General features: G+C 38.4%; 1 protein-coding gene across 31 annotated transcripts in view; it reads left to right on the top strand.

Annotated features, from left to right (window-relative positions):
• Positions 1-27,538, top strand: part of DLGAP1 (DLG associated protein 1) — a 959,276-nt gene that overhangs the window by 578,784 nt on the left and 352,954 nt on the right. For 8 of the 31 annotated variants that reach the window (NM_001242762.2, NM_001398533.1, NM_001242763.2 and 5 more), the window contains exon 1: positions 1,764-1,910. The exons of 11 other annotated variants lie outside the window; for them this stretch is intronic. In NM_001242762.2, coding sequence (NP_001229691.1) covers positions 1,818-1,910 — 93 coding nt within the window. In that variant the 5' untranslated portion in view covers positions 1,764-1,817. Of the gene's footprint in view, positions 1-1,763; positions 1,911-2,221; positions 2,377-27,538 lie in introns of those variants that run through there. 12 more of the 31 variants (NM_001242764.2, NM_001308390.2, XM_017026080.2 and 9 more) reach the window with 2 other exon arrangements.

The raw sequence follows: 27,538 nt of genomic DNA, 5'->3' as shown, positions 1-27,538 counted from the left end.
TCCTACATTGGGAAATAATTAACCAAGCTAGTTCAACCTTTTAAACTAAACTCCAAGTTAATCCTTATTAATAGATATTGAATGTATTAAGCTTCTATTTATGCAAGACTTTCAAACTAGGGGAAAAAATCTATATTTCAATGTTGGGAGGTAGTATGTTAGTAAGAGAATTAAATGTAAAACAGTGTAGACCTCCCAACCCCTGTGCTGAGGCTGAAGAGATGCTGTAAAGAAAGGGAAGAAAGAGCCATATATTCATATGGGGTCAGAGGAGAATAGAAAATACCTCCTGAGAACTGGGCTTCTGGCTCCCTTCTTGCTTCTAGGAAATGAAAAGAGGATCTGCCACCCCGTGCAAGCTCTGCTGAGGAAGATAGGGTTAGCCCGTGCCAGCTAGCTCCAAGGGAATAATTTCATCTATAGGCTCATTCTTAGAAGTAAATTTGGGAAAACAGAGAGGGAAAGAGGGTTTCTTTGGAGTTCTTTTTTTTTTTTTTTCAGCTCTATTGCCTTAATTGCCAACTAATATTGAAGCTGGATTTACAAATGGATTTAACTTCAATATTAGAGACTTAGTAGGCAAAGCACTATTCTTCTAGTTCCCGGAGCGTTCTAGTCCTTATTTGCTGCTAACTAGTAACATGACCTGGAAACATGCTTTCAGCTCTCTGGACCTCCTTCCTCTGCTAGAAAATGAGGCGCTTGGTCCAAAAGATGTATGATCTCAGTATGCATTTTCAAACTCGTAAATTACATGTGTCAGAGTACTAATTAGAACTATTTTCAAGAATTGGAAGTCCCAGGACTCTCATTTCAGAGATGCCTACTGTATGTTTTTCAGATGTTGTCTAATTTGCTCTTTAAAATTCTAGAGATATTTCACAGTTGAAGAAGCTAAGATTTCGTAAATTAGGTTAAGTAACCTGCCCAAGGACACACAGCTAGTATGTGGCAACACGTTGGGTCAAAACTGATTTGTCTGCTTTCAAAGTCTGTATTCATTTACTATGCCCAATCTCTACCTCCTCCAAATACAAAGCAGAGGAAGGAAGCAGTGTATATCAAATATCTATTATGTGCCAGAAACTGTGTATGTCTCATTAAGTACTCAAAACAACTTTGTAGAGTATTATTTACTTTAGTTTTATAGACAACAAAACAGGCACAAATGCTTAAATCATTTGCCCAGGAACACATAAACAGTAAGTGGGGGAGCTAGCACTTGATCCCAAATCTACCCAACTCCGTAATATGCTTCAGTAATGGAAATGAGTGCGTATTTTTTATTTTATTACTTGATTTATTTTGTGGTAAATGTATGTGTGCATTTGACCTCATATGCATGTGAGAAGTTAAGAGGGCATGGATATGAAATTAGACTAACAATGAAACAACTGATTATGTCCCTAATTTGATTCAAGACTAACAAAGATGAAATTAGTAATCACCAATAATAAAGTCTAAATACTAGCAAAGCTCTGCTTCTCTCTTTGCGGAATTATCACTTAGAATTCGCTTAATTTAGGCCATTGCCATGATTCTATAGAAAATGAGAAGTCTATAAGTATTTAGCCTCTGCCTGACATTGACTTAGGAATCAAATACTGTAGCTTGAAATCGTTGCAAGTCCCAGTTAATACGGTCAATTGTATTATGAGTGATAAGTGCTCACTCACAAGCTGTCTGCAGTTAATAAAAAAAGGGACTCCTTTTTTTTCCAATATTGTTATTTTTAAATGTCAAGAATCAGATGTCTGCTGTTTAGAACTATTGTACCGCTGCCAGTGACTGTCTGTATTAGGGTTGGGAGCAGGAACATGGATTTGAAGACATTAAAACTGTTTAATTCTCAGTTGAGATGTGGTTGGCTCTTATACATTTGGAATAAAGCATTTATGGCACATCTCAGGGTAAGTGCTTAATAGTTAAATAAATAAAATAGGAAGAGGTTCAGAGATAGAATAAAAGGTGGTTTTTGTTGTTGTTTTGTTTTTGCTTTTAAAAAGCAGAATTCTTGGTTCTGTTTATGCCTCTTTATGTAAATGTTGTATGTTGAGTGACTGACATATAAAGCCATTCAGAAGAGCAAGATTTTAGATTTCCAACTGTTAACCTAAAAGAAAAATCCCTTCAAACAGTGTATTTTGCATTCATTCAGCCGTAGAAACAGGAAAAGGGAAACAAAACGCTCTCTCCGCGGTAGAAGTGGAGAGAGAGAGACAGAGGGAGCGAGAGAGAGAGCAAGACAGACCGAGAAGGAAAGCACTCCCAGAGATGAAATTTTAGGAAAGCAAAATGATCGACCTTTTTAAGGCTGAGTGGGTTTCTTCAGTTTGTGTGCAAGTTTCAAGAAATGGAAGGACTGACCAGGTTTGGGTATAACTCTTTTATTACTTTGTATTTGGTAATAGTGTGGTGTTGATTTGGATGGTTTTTGTGGTAGGGAAAGGAAGGGGTAGTATTTGTGATTTTATTTCTCCTCTAAATAATGGCTAGAAAGACTGGAAGAGCTGACAAATTAATGTGTGCACAGATAGTAAAAAAGCAGATGGAGACATCAGATATCTACAAATCTGTGTCTCCACAAGGGCTTTATAAAATCTTTAATTGACACATGATCTCCTTAGATCTGCTAGGTGCTCTTAGAGGATATTATATGGCTGGTGATTGAAATATGATCGGTTGTTTTCCAGGACCAGGATTCTGAATAGTTACTGTTGCTTTGCAAAATTAACATTTATGATGATTGCTCTTTTTGGGGGTGGGGGTCTGCTTAAATAAGGTACCACACAAGATCACTGAGGAAGCATTCATAAGCATGAATCCAGGATCTTTTAAATACAGGTAAAATTATTTTTTTCAATAATTGGTTCAAGATTATTTCCATCTTTGCCCAGTGGGAGTTTTCTTTCCCTGGCTGAGTTTTCCTCCCTCTTGTGTTAGAACAATTTTAAGTCTCCCAATTCAGTTAAAACTACTTTACATGCAATTTATGAAAGTGCTGAACAGTTCTGCTAATGACTTTGGCTACTGGGATGTTTCTTTGCTGCCTTTTTCTGAAATCCCATCCACCACATTCATTGATGATTTTCTTTATTTTTAATTTAAATTGCCCTAATAATCCAGCAAGTGAATGTCAAGGTTCCTGAATGGATTTCCTATTGGGTTTGCACAATCTTCTCCCTGTTTTTCACTGATCTTGGTAGAGATGCCCCTCTTCATTCATAAAAAGATGAGATTGCTCCTGCCTGGTGCTAACTTTGGATGTGGAATCAGTGATCAGCAGCAGAATTCTGTTAATTCTCTCTCTCTGATTCTCTTTTATTCTCACTATTGTCAGGTCCAATTAATAAAGGGAAAAAAAAATTGACAAAACATTGTGAGAAAGCAGCAGTCCAGAAAGACTCAGTGGTAGTAAAGGGAAGATCAAAAATATATAGGAAAGCCTTCTTGGAAGTTATTAAAGAAACTTTATTATTCTTGGCCTTCAGTTTCACTGTTTTCTAAAGACATTTTCGGCAACACCAAAGTGCTTGGTTAGCCACAGTCAGAGGTTTCTGCCTGTAACACACACTTTCTGATCTCACAGAATTCCAATCTACTAATTAAAGGCATAGCATTAGTTAGCAAAGAGTGAAAGAGAAAAACTAGCCTTGGATCTCTCAGTGGCCAGTAGATTTCGTTTCCCCTTTTTCCATTCTCCTCAGAAGACAGTTTGCTTGATTGCAAATTAAAGACAGTAAATCAAGGTAATCATTCACCATTCTTTAAGAGAACTATTCACCCACAGTCTCTAGCCCACATGAGATCATGGCATTACACAATTTTACACAGTGATTTGTGAATGGTAGAACACATTGCTCTTTTGTGTCAGGTTTTTTAGGAACTGCTAAAAAATATATGCAGTATTGCCAGGCTGACTTTAATTTGTAATTAGATTATGTTTTCCACCACTTTGGGTTTAGGTTCAAAGACAACAATCTGTCTTAGTGGGTTATCACACAGGGAGAATTTTTTTTTCACATTATTTTGGTAAATTCATATTTAAGTGTTTTTCCAAATTCTTAAATTAAAACCACAATAGGTAATTGCATTAATTTTTTTTCAGTGACTGATTTACTTATATTCAACCCAGTCCTCTATGTTTATAAACTAAAAGGTAATGATATAAAGAATCAATTAATTACTGTTACACAGAGATAAAGGAGAAAATATTGTGTAAAGAAAGGCATAACATTTACTCTTACTGTTACTTTTGACCAAATTCTTGTTTTTAATTTTTTTTTTTTTTTTTTTTTGTCTTGGAGAGCACTCACGTGATTAAAGAAAGACCTCTTCTGATTCCCTGATCTTTTAAATGTAGGAATATTTAGGACTCTCATTAAAAACTTTTTGTTTCATTTGCTAAAGTCTAGCAATATGCCTGCTTTTTTTCCATTTCTAAGATATATTTATACAATGAATTTTCTGGATATGTGGGTCCTTTTGTGTATATTAGGTCACTGTTCTCTGTCAACTGGAGTTTCTACTAATTGTTTCACAGAATTAGGAAACTTCCCACAAAAATCAGGCTTGTGATATCACAGAACTGTCTATGAAGCAGAATTATGTGAGCCTGCGGTTACTGCATGCCAGGTGCATGTGTGCAGGTTTATATATACACCTTCTATCTGCATAGGTATCCCTGCAACAATACTTCTAAAATATGCATTTATACACATGCTGTTTTTGATCTCTGATTCATGAACTCAGATCCATTTTAAGAGTGCCATTTCACAAAGTCCATGGAAGAGGTATGACTATGAAGTGGAGAAACAGATTTTTCATAGACGTTGGAAAATTCATTACTGTGCTTTTCCAGTGATTATATTGAACTTCACCTTGGACCATTCGTGTAGACTAGTTAGGGATGTCCTGCTTCTCTGGTGTAAGAATAAAGAGGTTTTAGTCCCCTTAATAAGGGAGAATCCAACAATTGTAAAATAAATGACTTTTGCTCTCCTTAATTTTTTTAACCACAATTTAATATACGCTTGCAAGATTGTCTAACTCCTCCCTGATTTAATTCTCCGAGACTCTAAAATCATAAGATACATAATTAAAGGACCAGGCAGAGTTGGGTTTTTTTCCCCTTAAAATGACAATTTTAGAATAGTAGAACCTCCTGATCAGAAGGTCATCTGGTGTAGCTTCCCATTCACACTAATCTCCCTGCAATGCGGACATTGTATCTTCCTATCTATTTTTCATCTAATAATCTCCTTGTAAAAGAAGGCTTTGAAATTATTTAGTCCAATTTAGTTTTTTGAAAAGAGAAAAATCCTAAGGAAATACCTCGATGAAATCAGTCATCTTGCCAGTGGAACCTGGCACTCGCAGGCTCACTGCCTGGCTACCAGTGCTGTTCTCTTCCCATTATGTTGTACATATTCTATTATCCATTCTCATAACATCCTTTTAAGGCAATGGGGCCAAGGCACAGGGAAGCAAAGGGAGAAGCGACATTATCTGAAAGTTAGAGTTGAAGCAAGTTTGTGACTCAACAGTCTCAGAAGAGGCAAAGATTAACTAAATAATGCCTGCAATTATTTATTTTAACTTCCAAAGAAAAGAAATTGGTGTGTTCCTCCTTTAATGGATGAGTTTTCCCTGGATCATGGTAAACCACGTAGCAAAGGAGGATGCATAGAGCAGAACACATTAGGATATGTGATCTTTAGGGAATTTGCTCAGAGCCCTGGTTAGATTTTGAAGACAGCATGCATCCTTCCAGCATCTTCCACTCCTTTGAAATCAGCATCCCTCATCTTACTTCTCCAGGATAAAAATTAACATAGCTGTTACCATATTTGCAAAGGCCAAACTTTATTTGATAGATAGATAGATAGATAGATAGATAGATAGATAGATAGATAGATGTATTTATGTATAAAATATGTATGGTGTGACAGGTAGGAATTACGTATTGGAACAATGGGACCATGGGACCAAATATATTAAATGGGAGCAACTGCAGCAAATCTGAGAGGAATAGTGTGCAGGATACATACGCTAAAAGCTACAAGCTAATCTCTTAGTTATTGCCCCCTACATGTAAAAGTAAGTGATTGGAAAGGATTTATCTCTAAAATTGGAAATGCTACATGAAATATTGTAAAGTGGAATCAATACGGGTACATATGGGCACAATAATATCACATGTATGCCTGTAGAGAATCATATATATGTATGGCCACTTGCTCTATCATTGAATATTTAGAGGTAAAGCTTCCTTAATTTTATGTGCACAAGAATCACCTTGAGAGTGTCTATAAAATGAGGATCTCTGGCATCCACCCAAGAGATTCCGATTTCATAGATATGGGATGATTCTGACAGTGATCAATCCCAGAACTGCATTTTAAGTAACCCAGTTCTAGGGAACTGTAAGGCTTAATTTCTCATTGTATTTACTGAAGGGGGCAGTAGAGCCTAATAGATGAAAATATGGGATTCAGGCGCTCTGACTGCAAGCTTTATTGATGCTGGCTTGCTACATGACTTTGGGCTCTACTTAGCACTTCTATTTCTACATCTGTAAAATGGGCATGATGATATGACTGTGTTTGCTTCAGGTCTTAGAAACAAATTTAACTTCAAATTTGAGAAATAAATGAAAAATACAGTGTGAAAATATTCCAAGTTTGTAGATCCTCAAACATTAACAAGCTTTAGCTCTTTCCCATGTTTCATGTACCATACCACTTTTTCCTTTGTATTTCACTTCATCTAGTTTTTATTAAGCTGGCATTGGGATTAGCATGTCTGATTCTGTGGTAAAGAAAAGCCCTTTCCAATATGGGATGACAGTAGGTCTTAATCACAGTGTGGGTGTAAAATTTCACTGTCTTGTGTGCCGACTAAACGCAGAAAGCTTTCGTCTGAAGTCGAGAGTATCACAGTCAATCTTTTTTTCTTTTCTTTTTTGAAAGACAGTGTTTCCCTTTGTCACCCAGGCTGGAGTCCAGTGGTGTGATCATGGCTTACTGTAGCCTTGACCTCCTGGGCTCAAGCGACCCTCCCACCTCACCCTTCAGCGTAGCTGGGACTACAGACTCAGGTCACCGTGCCAGACTAATTTTTTATGTAGAGACGGGGTTTCGCTATGTTGCCTAGGATGGTGTTAAACTTTTGGCCTCAAGGGATCTTCCCACCTCGGCCTCCCGAAGTGCTGAGATTACAGTTGTGAGCCACTGCACCAGCCTGGATTAATCTTTTGATAGCTCAGCCTCAGTGGATCAGGTTTTCCCATGGCTTGATATTGGCTGATGGAATATAATTCTGGCTTCTTCAAGCTTTAGTGTATTCATACAGGGAAAAAAAAAAAAAACGCAATACACACTTGCTTTTGTTTTCATACGTTAAGTCTGTCAAGCTCCTGCTGCCTTATTCCAGACAGCTCTGGTAAGTCAACAGGACAAGCTTAATTAGTAATAACAGTCATAGGAGGTGTCTACAAGGGAACTCTATCCACCATCATCACCTCTTTAATTGGCTTAGGAGAACCAGGTTCTCTGTGGAGTGTTTCCTCCGTGGTGCTTTTCCACCATTGATAGAAGATGACCAAATGTCCTTGGCCATCACTCTTCTTTGCTCGTGCCCAAAGTCGCTAAGCCAGGTATATCATTCTTCTAATGTTGTAGAAATTGAAAAGAGCAAGTAAACACTGAAGCCAGATCTCTCTCATGACCTCTTCTCCACAGAACCATCGGAAGTTCAAACTTCTTCTGTGAGCCCTGTGACTTTGGGCAGTCTAAATTCTACCTCGCCTGCTTCTCCAATGTCATCAAAACAATGAAAACAAAACCATTCAGAATTCACAGGAAGGGTTTAATACATTTAATGAAATTATATCTCTTAATTATGAAAACTTGACCAAATAGGCTTGCCATTTTTGGTTATAAAAGTGGAAATTAGTGATGATAGAGATCATCCTATGGACACTATAAGACTCTGTAGGCCATCCCAGGACCTGCAGTTTACACTCTGAATGCCACCTGCCAGTCTAAGCTCCTCTGTGGACGTCCATCTGGCTAGCATCCCCTTAGGCAGTAAATAAGTAGGGAGAGAGGCCTTTCTACAGGACTTTTCCTTTTAAAGTCCTTTAAAGGAACCCTACCTGTAATCCTTAGAAATTTTATGTCTTTGTCTTCTCTCCTTAACTAGCAAAAGTTTCAAAGGCTTATCTGTAACTCAAGGGGTGTCAGTTCATTTGTTTGCAAATGAAACCTGAGCTTTCTGAAAATGACTCCCCTGCAAAATCATTCCCCCATAACACTCCTCCAGCCTTCTAGTCGATTTTAGATCGTTTCCTGTTCTCCCACCTCTTGGAAGTATTCCATGGCACGCTGAGCAGACACTTTTAGTCAAAAACGCCTATAAATAGCTGATTTTCCCTGCTTACTGCCTTCTCTCTAAGGCTTTCACAAAGGAGGTGAAACGAATCCACTAGAAACAAGAGCTTTCTGTGAGGGGTGTGTGGTGAGGCTTATGAAAAATCAAATCCACAGGCCGAAAATTATCGTGTAGGTAGCTTTGCCATATTTGAGTTACGCAATCACTGCATGGAAAAAGAAACATTTTATTTCATGCCAGAAGATCTCATGAACTGAACAAGCCATCAAGTGTGTCTCATCTGAACTTTCATGCTTCTTTAAAAACATGTACTTTGACTTTCACACTGCTATAAAAACAAAAAATAAAAAAAAACAAGTTTTATTTATTAGATTCTATTTGTAAATCTAGATAACCAATTCCTGTAGCCTTTCCATCATGGGAAATTTGAAATGATTTTCCCCATCCCCATTTCTCCTCCCAACAGCCCTTCTCTTTTGCCTACGAGGCCCCACCCATGGTCCACATCACAGAGCCCCCAGAGTGGGGCATGACACTCCTGGAACACTGTGCCCATGCTAGGCAGGACCTTAATTTCTTCGTTCACTGATCTTACTGACACAAGCCTTAGAAACCCATACCAGTGGTTAATTTCATCCCCTCCTCCTTCCTTCCCCACCCCGTGAACCCTCTTTAGCAAGAGAGCTGAGCTCAGCAATACTTTCCCCTCCCCAGTACTCCCTTCTCTCACTTCTTTTCCCTTTCCTTTTGTGCAGCTATTTTATTACATAATTTGGAAGGGAATCCTAGTCCAAGATTGTCAGTTTACAATGAGACAACTGAGATCTGGAGAGGCTAAGTGGCATTTCCATGGCCCTCAGTTGTGGAGAGAGGCGGGGAAAAGCAGTGGCACTCAAAAGTCTTCCTGAGCTCCTCTTATTTTCAAGTTATCTTGATGTTACCCACACTGTGACTCACAGTGTTAATAACACTGATTCTGGCTGGGCGCAGTGGTTCACACCTGTAATCCCAGCACTTTGGGAGGCCAAGGCGGGCGGATCACGAGGTCAGGAGTTCAAGACCAGCATGGCCAACATAGTGAAACCCCGTCTCTACTAAAGATACAAAAAAATTAGCCGGGTGTGGTGGCATGTGCCTGTAGTTCCCAGGTCCTTGGGAAGCTGAGGCAGGAGAATTGCTTGAACCCGCGAAGCAGAGGTTACAGTGATCCAAGGTAGCACCACTGCACTCCATCCTGGGTGACACAGCAAGACTTTGTCTCAAAAAATATATATAAATAAAATAAAAAATAACACTAATTCCACACTTGATGGATATTCAAGACATTTCCTTCCAGTCCCAGCCCCTGCCCTTTCCACTCTGGTGGCTGGATCTAATTTGCTGTGGCCTACGCCCTGTCTATTGCTAAAGTTTCTAGAAAGAGCATCTCATTATGCCTTTCTTTATTAATTTTCCAAGAACACACACCATCAATAGAAGCAGGTGTCTGGAACAACTCAAAGTATCACTTAGCCCAGTGCATTTTGTACTTTTTAACCACCAAAGTCTGTGTTCAAATAAAGCAAAACATGTAAAACAATTTAAAACAGCACTACTCACATGGACGCAAGAACAGGAGGTTTCAAATCTAAATTCTCTCCCCAAGCCACCCCACCCCACCCTGTACCTGGGCTGTCTATAATTTGAAAACTACTGCCCATTCCTTCCCTATTAATCAATCTAAGCTGTCTAAGAAAGAGTTTAATGATCCAGGAGGGAAACTTCTGTATCTGTTCTTAATAAGCCCACTCTTAATAAATGAGATCAATCGGAAAACTCTGATAAGTTCCCCCCAAAAAATTGGGATCTGTATTCTGAGCTTGGAAAGTTATCCGTCCCCAGTGTGGTAAGTTGTATTAGCAGCAGCAGCAGCAGTCCAGACTGCAGCCCTGGTGCCCTGCCCTTCATTAAAAAGACAGCAATTGATCCTGGGACTCCAGGAGTTCCTGATTGACTCAGACTACAAAATCACTTTTGGGCTTTAAGCTCTGATAGACAAATTCTTATGTTACCTTCATACCTTTTCTCCAGCTGTGACCCAAAAAAAGAGGAATTGACTTTTTTAGGAACACACAGGCCCCTTGACTCCCAGGCTAGTGCTCTTTCCACAGCACCATACTGAACATCTTTTCATCTCCATCCCATGCTGGATCCACTTTTATGTGACCATGACTAAGAATAAGATGAAGATGGGGTAAAGGGAACAAGAAGGAGAGTAAGAAGAACTTTAACTTACTAAGAAGGTTCTATGGACTTGTGTTTACCATACATTGTTCTTCTTACATTGTCTTTATTTCTGGAAGTTTCTGGGGTAGCCGTTCTGACCCCTGTTTTATATGAAAAGGAGGGTATTAAATTTGCTCAAGATTATTCTCCTAGTAAGTGACAAAACTGAGATTTAAACTCTGGCCTGTCTGATTCCACAATCTGTTTGCTTTCCACCATAACATGATGCCTCTGCTTTGCAAATATTTCCTTTGGTCTTCTCTTGAAGGATTTTTAAATGAGAATTTCTTTTAATAACAATTAAAAATGAATAATTATGGTTTAAAAAACAGGTTCTACTTCTATGATTAGGTGTAAAACTAAATCTAGTTTGGAAAGTAGTCATGTTTGAAAACAAGTAATATATGAGGTTGATTTGCAAAGTGAGATATATAAAAAGGTTGTAATAGGACATTATTTCATGTCAGTGGAAATGTATATCTCAACCTATGAAAGAACCTTTACTCAAGGCTCCTTGTGTTTATTTGCTTGTCTGTTTCAACAAGAAACAATACTACTGACCCCATGAGACTGCCAGCCTAATTGTAGTTATAACATTGTTAATAACACTGTAAGGTTCTTACGGACAAATATGCACTGTCTGCCCATTTAATATTCTTTGCTTAATTTAATTTTGGAATGTCTGCTTCTGAAATGATTAGGAAGTAAACTAGGAGTCTTCAAACCCAATTAAATTAAACCCAAACCCAAAATCCAGACTTACAGAGATAAGTCAGTGTGATTTTATATTTTGTCTGTCCTTACTTTTTGGGAGACCAGATGGTTATCTCTCAGCCTACTGTGAACCAGAATTCTGCTTGGTACATGAGCCTCATATATCCCAGAGTGTTAACTAAGTGTTTGGGAGATTTACCCATTTTACTATTTGTTAAATTACTAGTCCAGGTTTGAAGGAAAAGATATGTTTCTCTAAAGATCTACCCTTAGAATGTTGCGTAATTACCCATCAAAGTAAAATTGAATTAGTGAGTCATATACTATCCAAGGTGGAACAGTTACATGTGCCACCTTAGAGGTGGCTGCAGGTATCCAGTGCATAAACGGTGCTGTTAGAGAATATCAGTAGAGTTTATATTAAATCCTTATAACAGACAACAATGCAGAATAGTAAGACTTCGGAAGTCTATCAGAATAAAGGTGCCATTCTCAGTGATGAACTTAGAAGTCAAAGTCAATGTAGTCTTCATAATCCTTCTTCTTAGCTGGTTTTGGGTATTTCCTCATGTACATGTATCACACTGCAGATAGTTCAGTGTTCTATAGCAAACTCTTGCTTAATTCTCTCCCCTCTTTGTTTAAGCCCAGATGAAGTTAATTTAAAATAAGGGTTAGTCCTAATATGGCATGTTTAAAAGCCTCCACTTCCTTTTGGTTCAATGTTTTATAACATATCACCATGCATAAGAATGAAATATTAATTATTCACTTAACAGGGACTTCTAAGGAACTGAGAAGTGAAATAATTCCCTAAAATTAAACCATGCCAATTTGATCTCTTGTATGTTTTTGAAGGTGTTATTAGATGAATAGATGAATAGAACTAAGCGTTGCATTTCTTCGCTTCAACCCATCTTGATTCTACCTGTTGTAACATGTATTCCCCTCACATTTTCTGTCCACAAGCATATAATGAAAAATTCTGTTAAATGATTTTATAATACTGTCATTCTCCCTGAGTCTTTTATTCAACCAAGATTTCTTTAGCACTTGTTTGACCCAGACTGAACTCTGGGGGCAGTGGCCAGATAAAAGCAGGAGGGAAAAGACCAGATGGGTAGCTGACCACTCAGCTGGTAGAAATAAGCAAGTGGAGAACAGAATTTATTCCTAGTTGACAAGATAATACAGGATTTTATTTTCTAAGGTACCCAAGTTGCCCAAAGATGGAAGATATGGTCTAGCCTGGAGGCCAGGCCAAAGGAATTTAACCTCTGGGCAGCATTTCTCAGGGGAACCAATGGTATGAGGATAGGAAAAGAGCAGGGAGCTGCTTCCTAGAGGGGCCTGGGAGGTTGCAGGCTCCCGAGCCCAGCCACCAGGCAGCTGGCTGCAGAGGTGGTGGGGCTGAGCGGGCCCTGGGGAAGAAACCTAGCAAGCAGCACTGCACTGTTGTGAGGAAAATACCCTCAGATTCACATCGCATCCATGCACTCAGCATCAGTACCAGTCAGCAAGATGGAATGGCATGGACGCTGTGGATAGCAGTAGCAACACTGTGCACCCAGAGAATTTAGATGCCTCTGGGGCCACCCTCAGAGACCTAAATGCTTCCAGGTGTGAGAAGAGCAGAGCTAGCTAGTTAGGAGATAACCCCAGGGAATAATGAACGGGTTTATTACCAAAACTTAACTTTATCTCCAGATTATAACACCTGAGGATGTAGCTATTAGATTGGGATGATTTTTCTAACAAAGGCATCAGATCCCAAGTAAAAGGAAGAGTTTCTTGTTATTAAAAATGTGCTATGAGAAACTGGATGAACACATGAGGCATAAAGCAAAGGACATTTCCCTATTTGGTGAAATGAGGGCAAATGAGCCCTAGGGTTCCTTTTAAATCAGGTAGTCTAGTTCTCTGCTGTCCCACGTGGTAGCCACTAGCCACATGTGGATCTGTAAATTTCAATGAATTAAAGTTTGAAAAAAATAAAAATCCAGTTTCTCAGTCACCGTAGCTACGTTTCTAGTGGTCAGTAACCATGTTTCCTGTTGTTTATTAATCCCTCAATCAACATTTCCGTCATCACAGAAAGTTGTATTGGACAGCATTGCTCTAATTGTTTTTTACTCTCTTGACTTCTAGTAGATTGGGGCTTTGCCATAAAAAGGTAATACCCTGTGGTGATGTCCCAGTGATTAGAGGTGTCCAAATTGCCTGGTAGTTTTCTGTGTGCCCAAAGCGGGGCAGGGAGGCCCAGTGAGGGCGAGGGCCGCCCTGCTTGAATGCCTGTCCTCCATGCCCTCACAGTGTGGCATTAAATAAATCATTCCACCATTAAAACTTCTTTTTCTTCATTTGCAAAAATACTTACCTCGTAGAGTTGTTTTGAGGAGTCAATTATGTAACATACCTAGCTTTCAATAAGTACAACTCACTTCCCCTTAGAAACATGAGGACTAACATGGGCCTGGGGTTTTGGTGGGATTCTTAGCCACCTTTTATTAGTCACTCATGACCTGCTGGCCATTGTGCTGGGCACGTCATGTGCATTATCTCCCTGGATCTTCCCACCCACCTGGCGCTGTCCCCTCCACGTGCCTGTCGGCTCCTCTGCGTTTTGTACCTCCCTCACCATCAGCCAAGTAGGCAGCACCTTACGTGATATCTCCATTCTCACGCTGAGTTTTGGGCGGTAGTTGCTGAAGCTCTCTTTTGGACAGTAATCCTCATCTGTGATTCTCTTCCTCATTTAAGAAACATGTCTGCAAAACTTTTCTTCTCCTCACATTTACTTGTAAATTACAATGTTTTGACACCTCTAGGAGCAATATCTGGGTGCAGATGGATATGGCAGTTGGCAATGCATCATCATATCTGCTACAGCCAGTCCCTTGGCTGGTGCCGTTCAGACAGGGCCCCTCATCCTCTGACAGGTTCAGTTTACGTGTTACCCAAAAGACTCCTGTCTACCCCACATTGCTTATGCCTTTGGCCAAAGGGAAAGGGCTTTCCAGAAAGGCCCTTGGAGTGTCCATTATGGCCTATCCAGGGTACTGGTTTAATTGAACCCTGTTTGCTGAGACAAGTGAGTCTCAAACCTTTCCAATGCACATTGAAAAATGAACATGATTGATGTACAAGTGTCAACGTCTGGCTTCATTTGTTTACTCACCAGACTTCCAAAGCTGCATTTTTCGTATTGCTCTCTGAAACCAGGCACTCTTTCGCCATCTTTGAGGCCTGGAAAGAGAGAGATCACTTCAGCCCAACAAATCAGAACAATGCCATTGGTGGCAGGCCCATTGGAAAAGCTTATTGAGGCAGGATTCCCTAATGTGGACTGTCAGAGGAAGATAATGTTTAGGATTGGAACATCAGCAGGGTTGTCACTAGTCAGGCTGGGGCAGCACAGAAGCAGAACTGCTGAGATTGCACATTTGACTGACTTCTGAAATAATCCTATCTCAAAAAGACCTTTGGATGGGGTAGAGGGCAGGGTGGGGGCACTGGGCAGAAAGTCAAGCGCAGAAGGGCAGGGCATCTCATCCACCTAATTCAGGTGTTCTCTATCTGAGGCTGTGTGCCCTGTAGGATGTGCAAGATTGGACTCTACACAATCAGCAAACTCCTGAAATTATATAAAAGTCAGGGGAGTGGGTGAGATGTTCATCTTGCTTAGAAGAAAAGTTCTTAGCCTTTATCATGTGCCCAGAAGAAATAAGGGGTCACTAACAAGTTTAAATTATGACATTTAAAAAATTATATGCTTTTTCCTTAAAAGCATAAAATTGATGGCTTTCCTTCTTCCTTATGATGACAGTTTATTAGGAAAGCCTGTAGAATAATTTGAGGAATATAAAGTTTTTAAAGAATTATTATTGTGGATGAATATTAGCTGAAGTGAACAGATCCTCTATTGGAATTTGGAGCTCCTATAACAATGTAATCCCTGTCATAGGATTTTTTGTAAAGGAGTTTTTCCTGAATAATCGATTCAAGTAACAAACAATGAAGATCTTCTCTATATAAGCGTCGAAGTTGATAGGAAATGGGAATTCAAAGACTTCTAAAACAGTTCCTACTCTGAAAAAGTTTATAGTCCAGTGGAACATTAAATAACTAAATACATGGGCAAAGGGAGAAGCATAAAGGTATCTGAACAAAGAATAGGGAAGTTTACAGAAAGAATTTAAACCTGGATTGTAAGTAAGGAAGGATGGAGGATAAGGACGTTTCCTCATTTGAAATATCATATCTCTGAAGCCTTGAAAGTATTTCTATGGGAGTATAACGGGAGAGATTTCTCTTAGCATTTTCTCATTATTTGTTAATCTCTCAATAGTTCAGCCCTATATCCCCCATGCCTGACAAGTACCTGAAAATCACTTAATTCCATCTGCAAAGTCCCTTTTTCCATGAAACGTCACAAATTCAAGGGCATGACACCAGGAGGTGGAGATCATGGGAGCCAAAATTCTGTCTGCCACAATAATTCAACAGTCAACATAGATGGTAAATTAGTGAGGCGTTCACCTTCATTGACAGCCATGCAGTTCAAGGGCCATGAAGTTCATTCTGGGAAGAGTAAATATAGCTTTGCTACCAGAAAGCTGTGTTCAAATCCTGTGTTTTAGCAGTTATACAACATTGAGTGAGATATTTCATGTCTATCTGCCATGGTCTCCTCCTCTGTAATGTGGAGATAATAAAAATACCTATCATACAGGGTTGTCAAAAGAATTAATTGTGTTAATACATGTGGAAGGTGCAGACCAATGCTTGGAAATGGGACATTATATGATGCCTCAATAAATCCTATTATTATTATGCCTGAAAAAACACAGTGTTAGCAGTGTGAACTGAAGCAAGAGAGCAGATTTAAGAGACATTGCAAAAGTTACTGTTAGAGATTACAGTTTCACTTATCAGGGTTTTGAGCACATGAAACCCTTCAGCATCTGTATTAACTTCCTATGGCTGCAATAACAAAATGCCCCCAATTTAGTGCCTTAATACAATGCAAATTTATTTATTTATTTATTTTTTGAGACAGAGTCTCGCTCTGTCGCCCAGGCTGGAGTGCAGTGGCGCAATCTCGGCTCACTGCAAGCTCCACCTCCCAGGTTCACGCCATTCTCCTGCCTCAGCCTCCCGAGTAGCTGGGACTACAGATGCCCACCACCACGCCTGGCTAATTTTTTGCATTTTTAGTAGAGACGGGTTTCACCATGTTAGCCAGGATGGTCTCGATCTCCTGACCTCATGATCTGCCCACCTCGGCCTCCCAAAGTGCTGGGATTACAGGCGTGAGCCACCGTGCCTGGCCCACAACGCAAATTTATTATCGTACAGTTCTGCAGGTTACAAGTCCACAATGGGTCTCAATGAGCTACAATCAAAACATCAGTAGGGCTATGTTCCTTCTGGAGGTTTCTAGAGAAGACACCCTTTTCTTGCCTTTTCAAGCTTCTAGAAGCCACCTACATTCCTTGACTCCTGGCCTCTTCCTTCATCTCCAAAGCCAGCAATTGCATCACCCTGATCTGTGTCTGTGGCCACAACTCTCGCTCTGACTTTCCTTCTACTTATTTGTGATTATATTGGGCCCACTTGATAATGCACGACAATCTCCCCATCTCAAGACCAGTAAATTACTCACATCTGTGAAGTCCCTTCTGCTATATAAGGTAACATTCACAGGTTCCATGGATTAAGACATGGGCGTCTTTGGGGAGTCCGTAATCTGCCTACTACAGAATCTACTATCTAAAACATAAGCTATTTCTTAAACTTAATACCATTTTTTTAAACTTGGTGTGAAAGATGTGTGAAATTATATATCTATTGCCTATCAGCTAAATGAGATCATTGTATATATGCACTGGTCCCTGGATATTTCACGTATATGGTGATGAAATGAAAATACCATCCATTTCTGTGTTTTTTAGATTATTTTAAAAGAATACTCTTCTAAAATAGTTAGGCAGCATGTCCATTCAAATCACTATTTGAAATCAGAGCACTTGTAGATGGTGTACTTACTTACATACTCTGCAGTATACAGTCATTCACTCTTAAATATTGTTAATTTTTGAGTTGCAATTAATTTTTTAGTCCCTGTTAAAAATTGTCACCTGCTCTAACATCTCACTTAAAATATACTTATAACCTCATGTATGGAAAAAGCTCTGAAGCATGAAAGTTCTATTGTTCACTCTTCTTGAAACATAAGCATTCAATAGCTTCATCCACCACTTTTCTTCTTACATTTAAAGTGTTAACTCTTAGTGTCATCTAAAAGGAGTGTTCCTTTCTTGTGAGATGGTATGCCCTCTAATGTTTATCATGTGAAAGCTCATTTAGTAAGCTTTTTAGAGCAGAAGAATCTCATGCCAGACAATTTTTTAGTTTATTAGATCTAGATTCCCCTTTGCCTATGAGTAACATATTTGCTGCTTCTTATTTGAAATTTTTATCAGTCTCTTAACTTTATAGTAAAACACCAATTATTCATGTCATTTGAAATCCCCTTCCAGTATCTATACATGTAAATGCATACATCTTGCACATTTGCAATCAGGTGTTTTATATATATATATGTGTGTGTGTGTGTGTGCATATATATATACGTGTATATATATGTATATATACACGTATATATATATATGTTTCCCTTTTGTTGTATATGATATAATTTTTAATTCAGACACTTGTGAGCACTAAGTATATTTCAGATTAAGGGCTCTGTTAAAGGCTGGGAATACAAAGTTGAAAGGACATGACTCTTGCCCTCAAAGAGCTCTCACCAACCTGGGAGGAGAGGGGAACTGATGGTTAAAGTTTTTTAAATAGGAAAAAACATGTTTTAAGTATAGAATCACCTGGACTTAGTGATTGAACTACTGAGGTGTCTGGAAAGAGAAAAGTAAAAATGATGAAAAATTTATAGTTTGAAAAATTGGGTGCCTGTCAATACTTCCAACTGAGATAATTAATGTAGGAGAAAGAATACATTTAGATGGAGAAGTTGGTTTTGTTCTCGGCCTGCTGAATCTTATATGCCTGAAGCCTATTCAGTTGAAGATATCCCGTAGGCAAATGTTCATTTATTCAGATACTATTTGGGAAGTTATTATAGTAAACCAGATAAGAAATGATTGTGTTTGGAATAGGATTGAAGCAATAAAGATGGAGAGAAGTAAACACACCTTTCTACTGTATCTTGAGAGTATCAAGTTGGTCAAGAATTGAGTGGGGTGGATGAGGAAGAGGGAGGAATGAAGGCAGCTGGATTTATGATTGTGCAGTTCTGGAAGACATCAGAACTGGAGAAAGGCACTGGGGAGTTATCACATAGGAGGCTGAGAGGAGTTTGAGAGTGAATGAGGTCACACTGGGGCATGTGTAAAGTCAGAAGATGAGACATCACAAGCCAACTTCCTGGGCTACACAGCAGGAATCATAGGAAAAGCACTAAGAAAGGTCATAAAAATAGGCCAGAAAAGTGTGGGAGTAAAGGGAGACGAAGAGGATTTCAAGAAACAGGGAAAGTTTAACAAAGTCAACTACCAAGGAGTGGTCCAGTCAGACAAGGAATGGAAAGCTTGATCGTGAACTTGGCAATTGGGAAGTAACTACTGCACATGCCAAGAGTTTCCTTAAACTGGTAGGGTAAAAATCATTTTGTGTCATTTTGATAAATGTTTATTATTTTCAATAATACTCTATCATTTAATGAAAATATGTATTGTTATTATAGTATGTAAATACACCATGGCTAGAATATTCATTTCTATTTCTATTCATTGTCATTTGAATTTTTAAACAGCTTTTTACCATTTTGAATAATACCATAAATGTCATTTTCAATGAAAGGCTAAAACTCTTTTCCTGGTTAGAATTCCCAAATATTATGCACATCCTTCAATTTGAAGAAAGTAATGCAAGTAATTCTTAGCATCTTAAAATAATTTAAATATTCTAATTTTAAATAATAATCTACAGAGGTTTTCGGCTCTTTTTGTTATTTTCAGATGGAGACATCACAAATGTCTGGGTCAATATCTAGCCTAGAGTGCACACTTACAGAGCAAGCATCTTCTTCATACTACATACTGAAGTCCTCTATGGATGTAGCATTATACTAAATAATCAGCTGTATTTCTTTATATTATAAATAATTTAATACATAGAGCAAGCACTTTCTTCATACTATATACTGAAGTCCTCTATGGATGTAGCATGACACTAAATAATCAGCTGTGTTTCTTTTTTTTTTTGGAGGGGGACGGAGTCTTGCTCTGTCGCCCAGGCTGGAGTGCGGTGGCGGAATCTCGGCTCACTGCAAGATCTGCCTCCCAGGTTCACGCCATTATCCTGCCTCAGCCTCCCGAGTAGCTGGGACTACAGCTGCCTGCCACCACACCCGGCTAATTTTTTGTATTTTTAGTAGAGACGGGGTTTCACTGTGTTAGCCAGGATGGTCTCGATCTCCTGACCTCGTGATCTGCCCGCTTCGGCCTCCCAAAGTGCTGGGATTACAGGCATGAGCCACCGCGTCTGGCCTGTATTTCTTTATATTATAAATAATTTAATACCCATTAGTAATAGGTTTCTTCTGTTTCAAGTGACTAAGGTAATTTCCCACCTATTAGCTATTTCTGTTGACCTCACTTCACCAGAGTTCCTCAATCTAAGTTTAATTTTAGCAATCACAATTCTCTCATCTAATTAACAAAAAAATTGGGCCATTGCCTCAGTGTCTTGCATTCAACCTTATTTTGACTGGCCATTTTCTAATAATGTCTCACACTCTTTTTTACCCCAGTGCTTATAATTGTAGTTTCTGTTCCGTTGAGTTCATTCTCTTTCCCAGCTCTCTTTGCTCTCGTTAATGTTTCTTTCACATTTCTTTTTCTTTTCTTTGTATTTACTTAGTAACCTATTCAAATCCCTTACTGTTACAAACTCTTCAATAATCATCTAGTTGTTTATTCAGGAAAAATTCCTGGAAGTAGATGAGCCAGGCCAACAGTCATGCAAAACACTAAATATTACACATAGATTGACTCCTTGCACATATTACCAGTGATCTCTAGAAAAGTGGCCTGGATTCCCACCCCAATGGCACTTTCCATTCTTGACATGCTTTGTAGACGATTCTTCTGTATTGTGAATCCAAATCCACTTCTCTTTGAATTTGTCTTGGAGCCATAAAATAAGAATAAATTTTTTGGCCAGGCGTGGTGGCTCACGCCTGTAATCCCAGCACTTTGAGAGGCCGAGGCAGGCGGATCACGAGGTCAGGAGTTCCAGACCAGCCTGGCCAACATAGTGAACCCCGTCTCTACTAAAAATACAAAAATTAGCCTGGTGTGGTGGCACGCGTCTGTAGTCCCAGCTACTTGGCAGGCTGAGGTGGGAGAATTGCTTGTACCGGGGAGGTGGAGGTTGCAGTGAGCCGAGACCATGCCATTACACTCCAGCCTGGATGACAGAGTGAGACTCCGTCTCAAAATAAATAAATTAATTAATTAATTAATTTTTTAAAATCTACCTCCCTTTTGTTGATTGTAAAACAACAGGAAATATACCTAATTACTCCTCCACATGGCATTCCTTCAAATGTTTAATGCAAACCATTATTTGCCACTTAAGTCTTCATTTTTCCACCATCGATAGAACTAATTCCTTCAGCTTTTTTTTTACTTTTATTTTAGGTAAGGGGTACATGTGCAGGTTTATTACATAGGCAAATTGCCTGCCAAGGGGATTTGGTGTACAGATTATTTTGTCACTCAGGTAATAAGCGTAACACCCGATAGGCAGCTTTTTGATCTTCACCTTCCTCCCTCCCTCCACCCTCAAGTAGGCCCCAGAGTCTGTTGTTCCCTTGTTTGTGTCCATATGTACTTAATGTTTGGCTTAAGTGAGAATATGCAGTATTTGGCTTTCTGTTCCTGTGTTAGTTCACTTAGAATAATGGCCTCTAGTTCCATCCATGTTGCTGCAAAGGATATAAGTTCATTCTTTTTTATGGCTGCGTAGTATTCCGTGGTGTATATGTACTGCATTTTCTTTATCCAGTCTGTCGTTCATGGGCATTTAGGTTGATTCCATGACTTTGCTATTGTGAATATTGCCTTCAGCAATTCTTTAAGAACAGGACTTTGAGCATCTCATCTGACAAATTGTATCTCATCCCAAGAAAAGCATCCCTCTTAGCTTATGGTGTCATAGCGTGAATATTATTATTTCATTTGGGTCCAGACTTCACAGCATTCAGTGGAACTCTTTGGCCATGAACTTCTATCAAAGTACCAGCTTGTCTGGTAATCATGTCAGGCTGCCTCACACTCAGGTAAAATTTCTAGGACCATTTTTTCACACGAAATCATACTGATAGGTTTCCCCACACTGTACTGCACACTCAGGTGGTTTAACACAATGTAGAGTATTACAATTACATGTATCTGTATTAAATATTATTATATAGATATGAGTGTATTCTAGGCAAGGGCCACTGGTTACTGATGTGCAGCTTGTGCACTACCTAACTCTAGGGAGCTCCACTTACGTTAGTAGTCATCTTACAGTTATTCGTTTATTACTATAATTTTCCAGAAAATGGCAGTAGAATCTTGAGGAAAGAACAACTTGTTTCTAAATCGCTCATCTAAAAGTGTCATTTGAATTACCAAAAAGAATGTTTTCAAAACAATAACAAAATTGGGGAATGCTAAATCTGAGATCCAATATTTTAAATATTTCCCCCACCAATGTATGTATGATATTTTAATACTCATAATTGTATCCAATATCTCATTGTTGAAGTTGGCAATTTTTAAAAGTTCAGAATAGGGCTAGAAAGAAAGACTCTGCTTCTCGCTAGAGACTGTCCTGTTCTTTTTCATGAAATTATTTAGATACCATTTAGGAAAAGTCATTCAACCAGTTATGAATCTCCTATCCAGTCTACATTTTAAAATTTTATTTAAAAGCATATTACTTTGTTACAGGTGTTATTAGGGGGAGGGGTTCATAAACTTAATATGCATTTATTGGGTACATTTTGTAAAATACCTAAGAACATAAAGAAGATAATAGAAATCCCCCAGACATAATCACTGTTAGCAAGTTTGTGTTGTTGTTGTTCTTTGGAAAGACTGATAATATTAATAAACCTCTGAGTAAAGTCACCAAGGAGGGAAAAAAAGAAAGCACAATATAAACACTAACAGAAATGAAAAAAGGGCCGTGGATATATATGCAGTAGATATTAAATCTATCATATGAGCAAAAACAGAAACAAACTTCATACGAGTGCAGGTTGAGTGTGCCTAATTTGAAAATCTCAAATCCTAAATGCTCCAAAATCCAAAACATTTTGAGAGCCAACATGACACTCAAAGGAAATGCTCATTGGAGCATTTTGAATTTCAGATTTTTGGATTGGGGTTGCTGAACCAGTAAGATGGAAACACAACCAGGCATCACTTAATGACGGGAATACCTTCAGAGAAACGCACTGTAAGGTAACTTGGTTGTTGTGTGAACATCATAGAGTTTACTGACACATCCTAGATAGTAGAGCCTCCTACACCCCTCAGCTATGATATAGCCTATTGCTCCTAGATCACAGAATCTTACCGCCTGTTACTGTGCTGAATACTGTAGGCAATTATAACACAATGATAAGTATTTGTGTGCCTAAACATAGAAAAGATACAAATATGGTATTATAATCTTATGGGGCTACTGTCTTACATCCAATCATTATTGACCAAAATGTCGTTTGGCCCATGACCGTGTTCTAAAATCCGAAAAAATCTGAAATTCAAAACCTTTCTGGTTCCAAGCATTTCAGATAAGGAATACTCAACCTGTACCTTGAAAATGTAAGTGTTCAGTTTCCTGGAAAAATAAAGCATTCAAAACTCAGTAAAAACAGAAACCTTGAATATATCCATAACAACTTAAGAAACTGACATATTAAAATTTAAAATTTTAGTTTAAAATTTACTCAGAAAAAGACCAGACCCTATTAATTTTTATAAAACCTGCAAGAAGAGGTAATCCCTGTCGTATAAAAATTCTTCTAGAAATTAGAACAACAACAACAACAAAAAATAAATGCCCAACTAGTTTCAGGATTTAATATAGACTTAAACCAGACAAGGGCCATTTAAGAAAGAAAAATTTAAATGCAATTTCTTTCATGAATCTGACATAAAAATTCTTAATAAACTTAAAAATACAATTAAATAATTAAAAATAATGTAAAATAACATGGCCAGATGACAATTATTTATTAACAAAAAGAAAGGTTAACTTTGGAAAAGATATTCACATAACTCTCAGTGCTTAAAGATTAAAGGATAAAAAGCACATAGGATTGTCTCAATATATGCAGAAAAGGTATTTCCAAATATTCAACAGCCATTAATGATCTAACAAAAAAATTATTATAACAAATTGGGAATAGAAAAAAATTCTTAAAGGGTATATATATGTAGCCAACAGGAACTTCCTGTCATGTTGGATCATTTAAACACTGGCCACAGGTTCTTTTGCCGACATTTCTCTGTTGATTCATGTTAGTCTATAGCACCTCCTTTAGGATCTTCCCCTAGAAAACATGAGGAAACAGTGTTACCCAAATCCTGGCAGGCTCAAAGCTGCCTTTTTCCTTGAGTCTTGATACTGAAGGGGAGCGTTATTAGAGAGAAAATCTTTGACTCCTGCCTTCTAACTTGGTATCTTATGGATCCTGCTCCACTCTTTGCTGAGGTTAGATATTTCTGTGGATAAATCTGATGTCAACTTCATTTTCTCTTCCTTAACTGATTTTTATCTTTTTCCTTGACTGCCTTAAGGATTCTTTTCAAAAATTTTTCTGGGATGTGTCTTTGGGTTGATCATTCTAGACGACTTTGCACTGATACAATGGATATCTTTTTCATAAGTAGATTTAAGGCTTTTTTATTTTAGAAAAGTTTTATTGAATTATATTTTAAAGTAATTATTCTATTCCATTGTTTTGGCTTTCTTCTTCTGAGATCACAGCTATGCATATGATGGCTCTCCTTTGCCATATTCGATACATGTCCTTTTCTCTCTAATCCTTCTTTATCTTTTTTGCCTCTGTATAATTTACTTGCATTTTCACTTTTTATCTTTTATGTCCCTTCCTTTACCTTCCTTTCCTTCAATTCCGCCAGTTCCCATTTGACATCCTCCAGCAGTGTACCAGTAACCTCCTGTTTTCTTCTCATTTCTTCCCTGAGTTCTTACAACTCTGCTTTGTGATCTTCTTTTATAGCTATAACTGCTTCATTAATTATTGGTTTAATTAATAACAATGTTGGGTTATGCTTTTAATCTTTTTTGTGACAACATATATTTCAGTTGAGTTTTCATTATTTACAAGAAATTCCTGACTGGTCTTCTTCATGTTTCTTTTATTTTTTTACTTTTAAACTTTTATTTTAGGTTCAGGATATTGTGCAGGTTTGTTATATAGGTAAATTCATGTCATAGGCCATATTTCTTATCATATCTGTATGTGTATTACTTGTATATTACTCCTATTTGAATGAGTTGAATTTTCCTAGGAAATCAAAAGAATGTTCCTGTAGAGGGAATGATGGGCAGTAGTTTTCCAAGCATCAAAGGCTTCCTTTGCTGCTGCTACAATTGTTTCTTCATAATATGATCCATCTATATAGTCACACATCATCTGACTCAGAACCAAACCTAGTTCTGTTCTTCCTCAATTACTTCATGGATCACTTCACAGGCTGCCTGTCACATGGGAACACAAATGATGCCGTCACTTTCAGTAACACTTTTAGAATTTTCCTGGCCCTAATGAGATTTGCCATTTACCCTCCACCTGCTGCGTAAATTTCAGTCTTTTCTGCAGCACTTTCCTCTTGGATTAAGGCCCTTACTTTTGGGGAGTGGATATTCAACAGAGATTTCTGAGTTCTGCTATATCTAGAACCCCTTCATACCTCCCACTTACCTACCACAGTATTAAGACTTTTCTCCTTGGCTTTCTGCCTGACTCTGACTTTGGAGTCTGTGGATTTTCTGCTGGTTTTGCTGAAAATGTAATTTGTGGGTGTTTCTTTTCATTTTGTTGTATTGTTGTTTTGTTGTTTGGAATAGATTCCAGGAGAAGTGAGAAAATTCAGCTCCTGTGAAAACCAGTCCTGTTACCATTTAGAAATCTTTTTCTCCTGTTTTTTTTCTATAAAGATGATTTTTTATAAGAAATCTCAGTGTGTGTGTTTACCTATCAACCAAGTTAATCTTCAAAAATAAAAAATAAAAATAAAGCACAGTCAGCTTAGCATACTACTTCTTTGTAAATGTGGGTTGCTTCTTTAAGCACTCACGGACCTTCCATTTAACAGCCTGTTCTAGGATGATGCTGAGGTATAAAGTCAAGCCTATCATGCTACTATATACAGAACATATTTCTTTAAAGCTTCAAAAGTCTTGTCTATCTTCAGTGTTTTGCCACCACCGTTTCTTTTAACAATCTTTAAGAATGCCCAGGTTGATTTTGGGGGCCCTACCAAAAGTTCTTTGTGTTATAATTTGTCAAGCACAAAAATTCGAGCTTAATATTTTTAGGTGTGTCCTCTTTTTAAAAAGAAAAATGTCTTCATTGGGAAAATTAAATCATTCATCTAATGGATCTTATAATATTTTAAATCGACATCCCACATGCTAATTTTTTTTTTGAGATGGAGTCTTGCTCTGTCACCCAGACTAGAGTGCAGTGACACAATCTCAGCTCACTGCAACCTCTGCCTCACTAGGTTCAAGTGATTCTCCTGCCTCAGCCTCCCGAGTAGCTGGGATTACAAGCAGCCACCACAATGCCTGGCTAATTTTTGTATTTTTAGTAGAGATTTTTGTATTTTAATTTTTGTCTTGTTAGTTTCACCACGTTGGCCAGGCTGCTCTTGAACTCCTGACTTGAAGTGATCCGCCCACCTCAGCCTCCCAAAGTGCTGGGATTACAGACGTGAGCCACTGCACCTGGCCTCAACATCCCACATGCTAATTTTCTAAGCAGAATGTATGTGTTTGACTAATATTGAATCTTCATGCCTTAATGGCATCACAGTGTTATTGGCCAGAGAAAGATATAGAAAGGTCAGATTTATAAACAAGACCACTAGTACTAACACTCTATATAAAACACTTGGTTTCAAGTGTTTTGCTAATCGCAGTTAATGCTGTCATTACCCTCTCAGCACAGCCTAGCAATTTAAGAGCTCTGTCATTCATTCATTCAAAAATATTTATTAAATGCCTACTATCACTAGGCCCCGAGTAGAGGCAAAGGATAACAAGATGATCAGAAACATATATGATTGCTGCTCTTGCGCTCCCATTGTTCAGTGGTGAGATAAACATTCTCAAATCAATCACACAAATGAATGTCAGTTTACTACCATGGTAAGGGCTGCTGTTGAACTATTCTGGGAGCTCTGCCCTGGTTCTCTGGCAGTGAAATGTCTGCAATCAGGGCTGTCCCTTTCTTCATTGGGAGAAATGATAGCAGAATTCAACTTTCCACTGGACTAGGGCCCTATGGAGTCTAGGGCATGCGGAATTGGTATTTCTTAGCACTCCCCTATGCATCTAGTACCTGAGATCTTCTGTAGTGTCCTTGATCTCAAAGTGTTTATTTCCTGCCTCCCTCCATGCAATGCACCCCTCATACTCATCCTATTAGAAGGGTGGCTAGCAGAGAGTCAGTTCTCTCCACAGTGAATTTAACAAAGAGACTCAACCTTAGGTGAGTCTCTTTGAAGATACTAAGAGTGTAGTGACCCATGCACCTTTTGAGCCTTCTGCTCATAAGTAAAGTTGATCCCAAATGATCACTTGGCTCAATACCTACAGAAGAGATTAGATAATCGCATATTGACTTGAGATGTTCAGCAAAGCATGCCCTATGAAGTAAGACTGGGATGAGGTCTGAAGAAAATCTAGACTTAATCAGACAATGAGCCAAGGGAATCATGCCTCCAGTAGAGGGAAGAGCGTTTGCAAAGGCAGAAAGAAACAAAAGGGTGAGAAATGAATCCAGCACGGCTGGATCACCAAGATAGTGCTAGATAAGTCTGGAAAGATG

The sequence above is a fragment of the Homo sapiens genome, chromosome 18 (genome assembly GCF_000001405.40).
Source record: "Homo sapiens chromosome 18, GRCh38.p14 Primary Assembly".
Lineage (NCBI taxonomy): Eukaryota > Metazoa > Chordata > Mammalia > Primates > Hominidae > Homo > Homo sapiens.
This window is presented reverse-complemented; position numbering and strand designations above follow the sequence as displayed.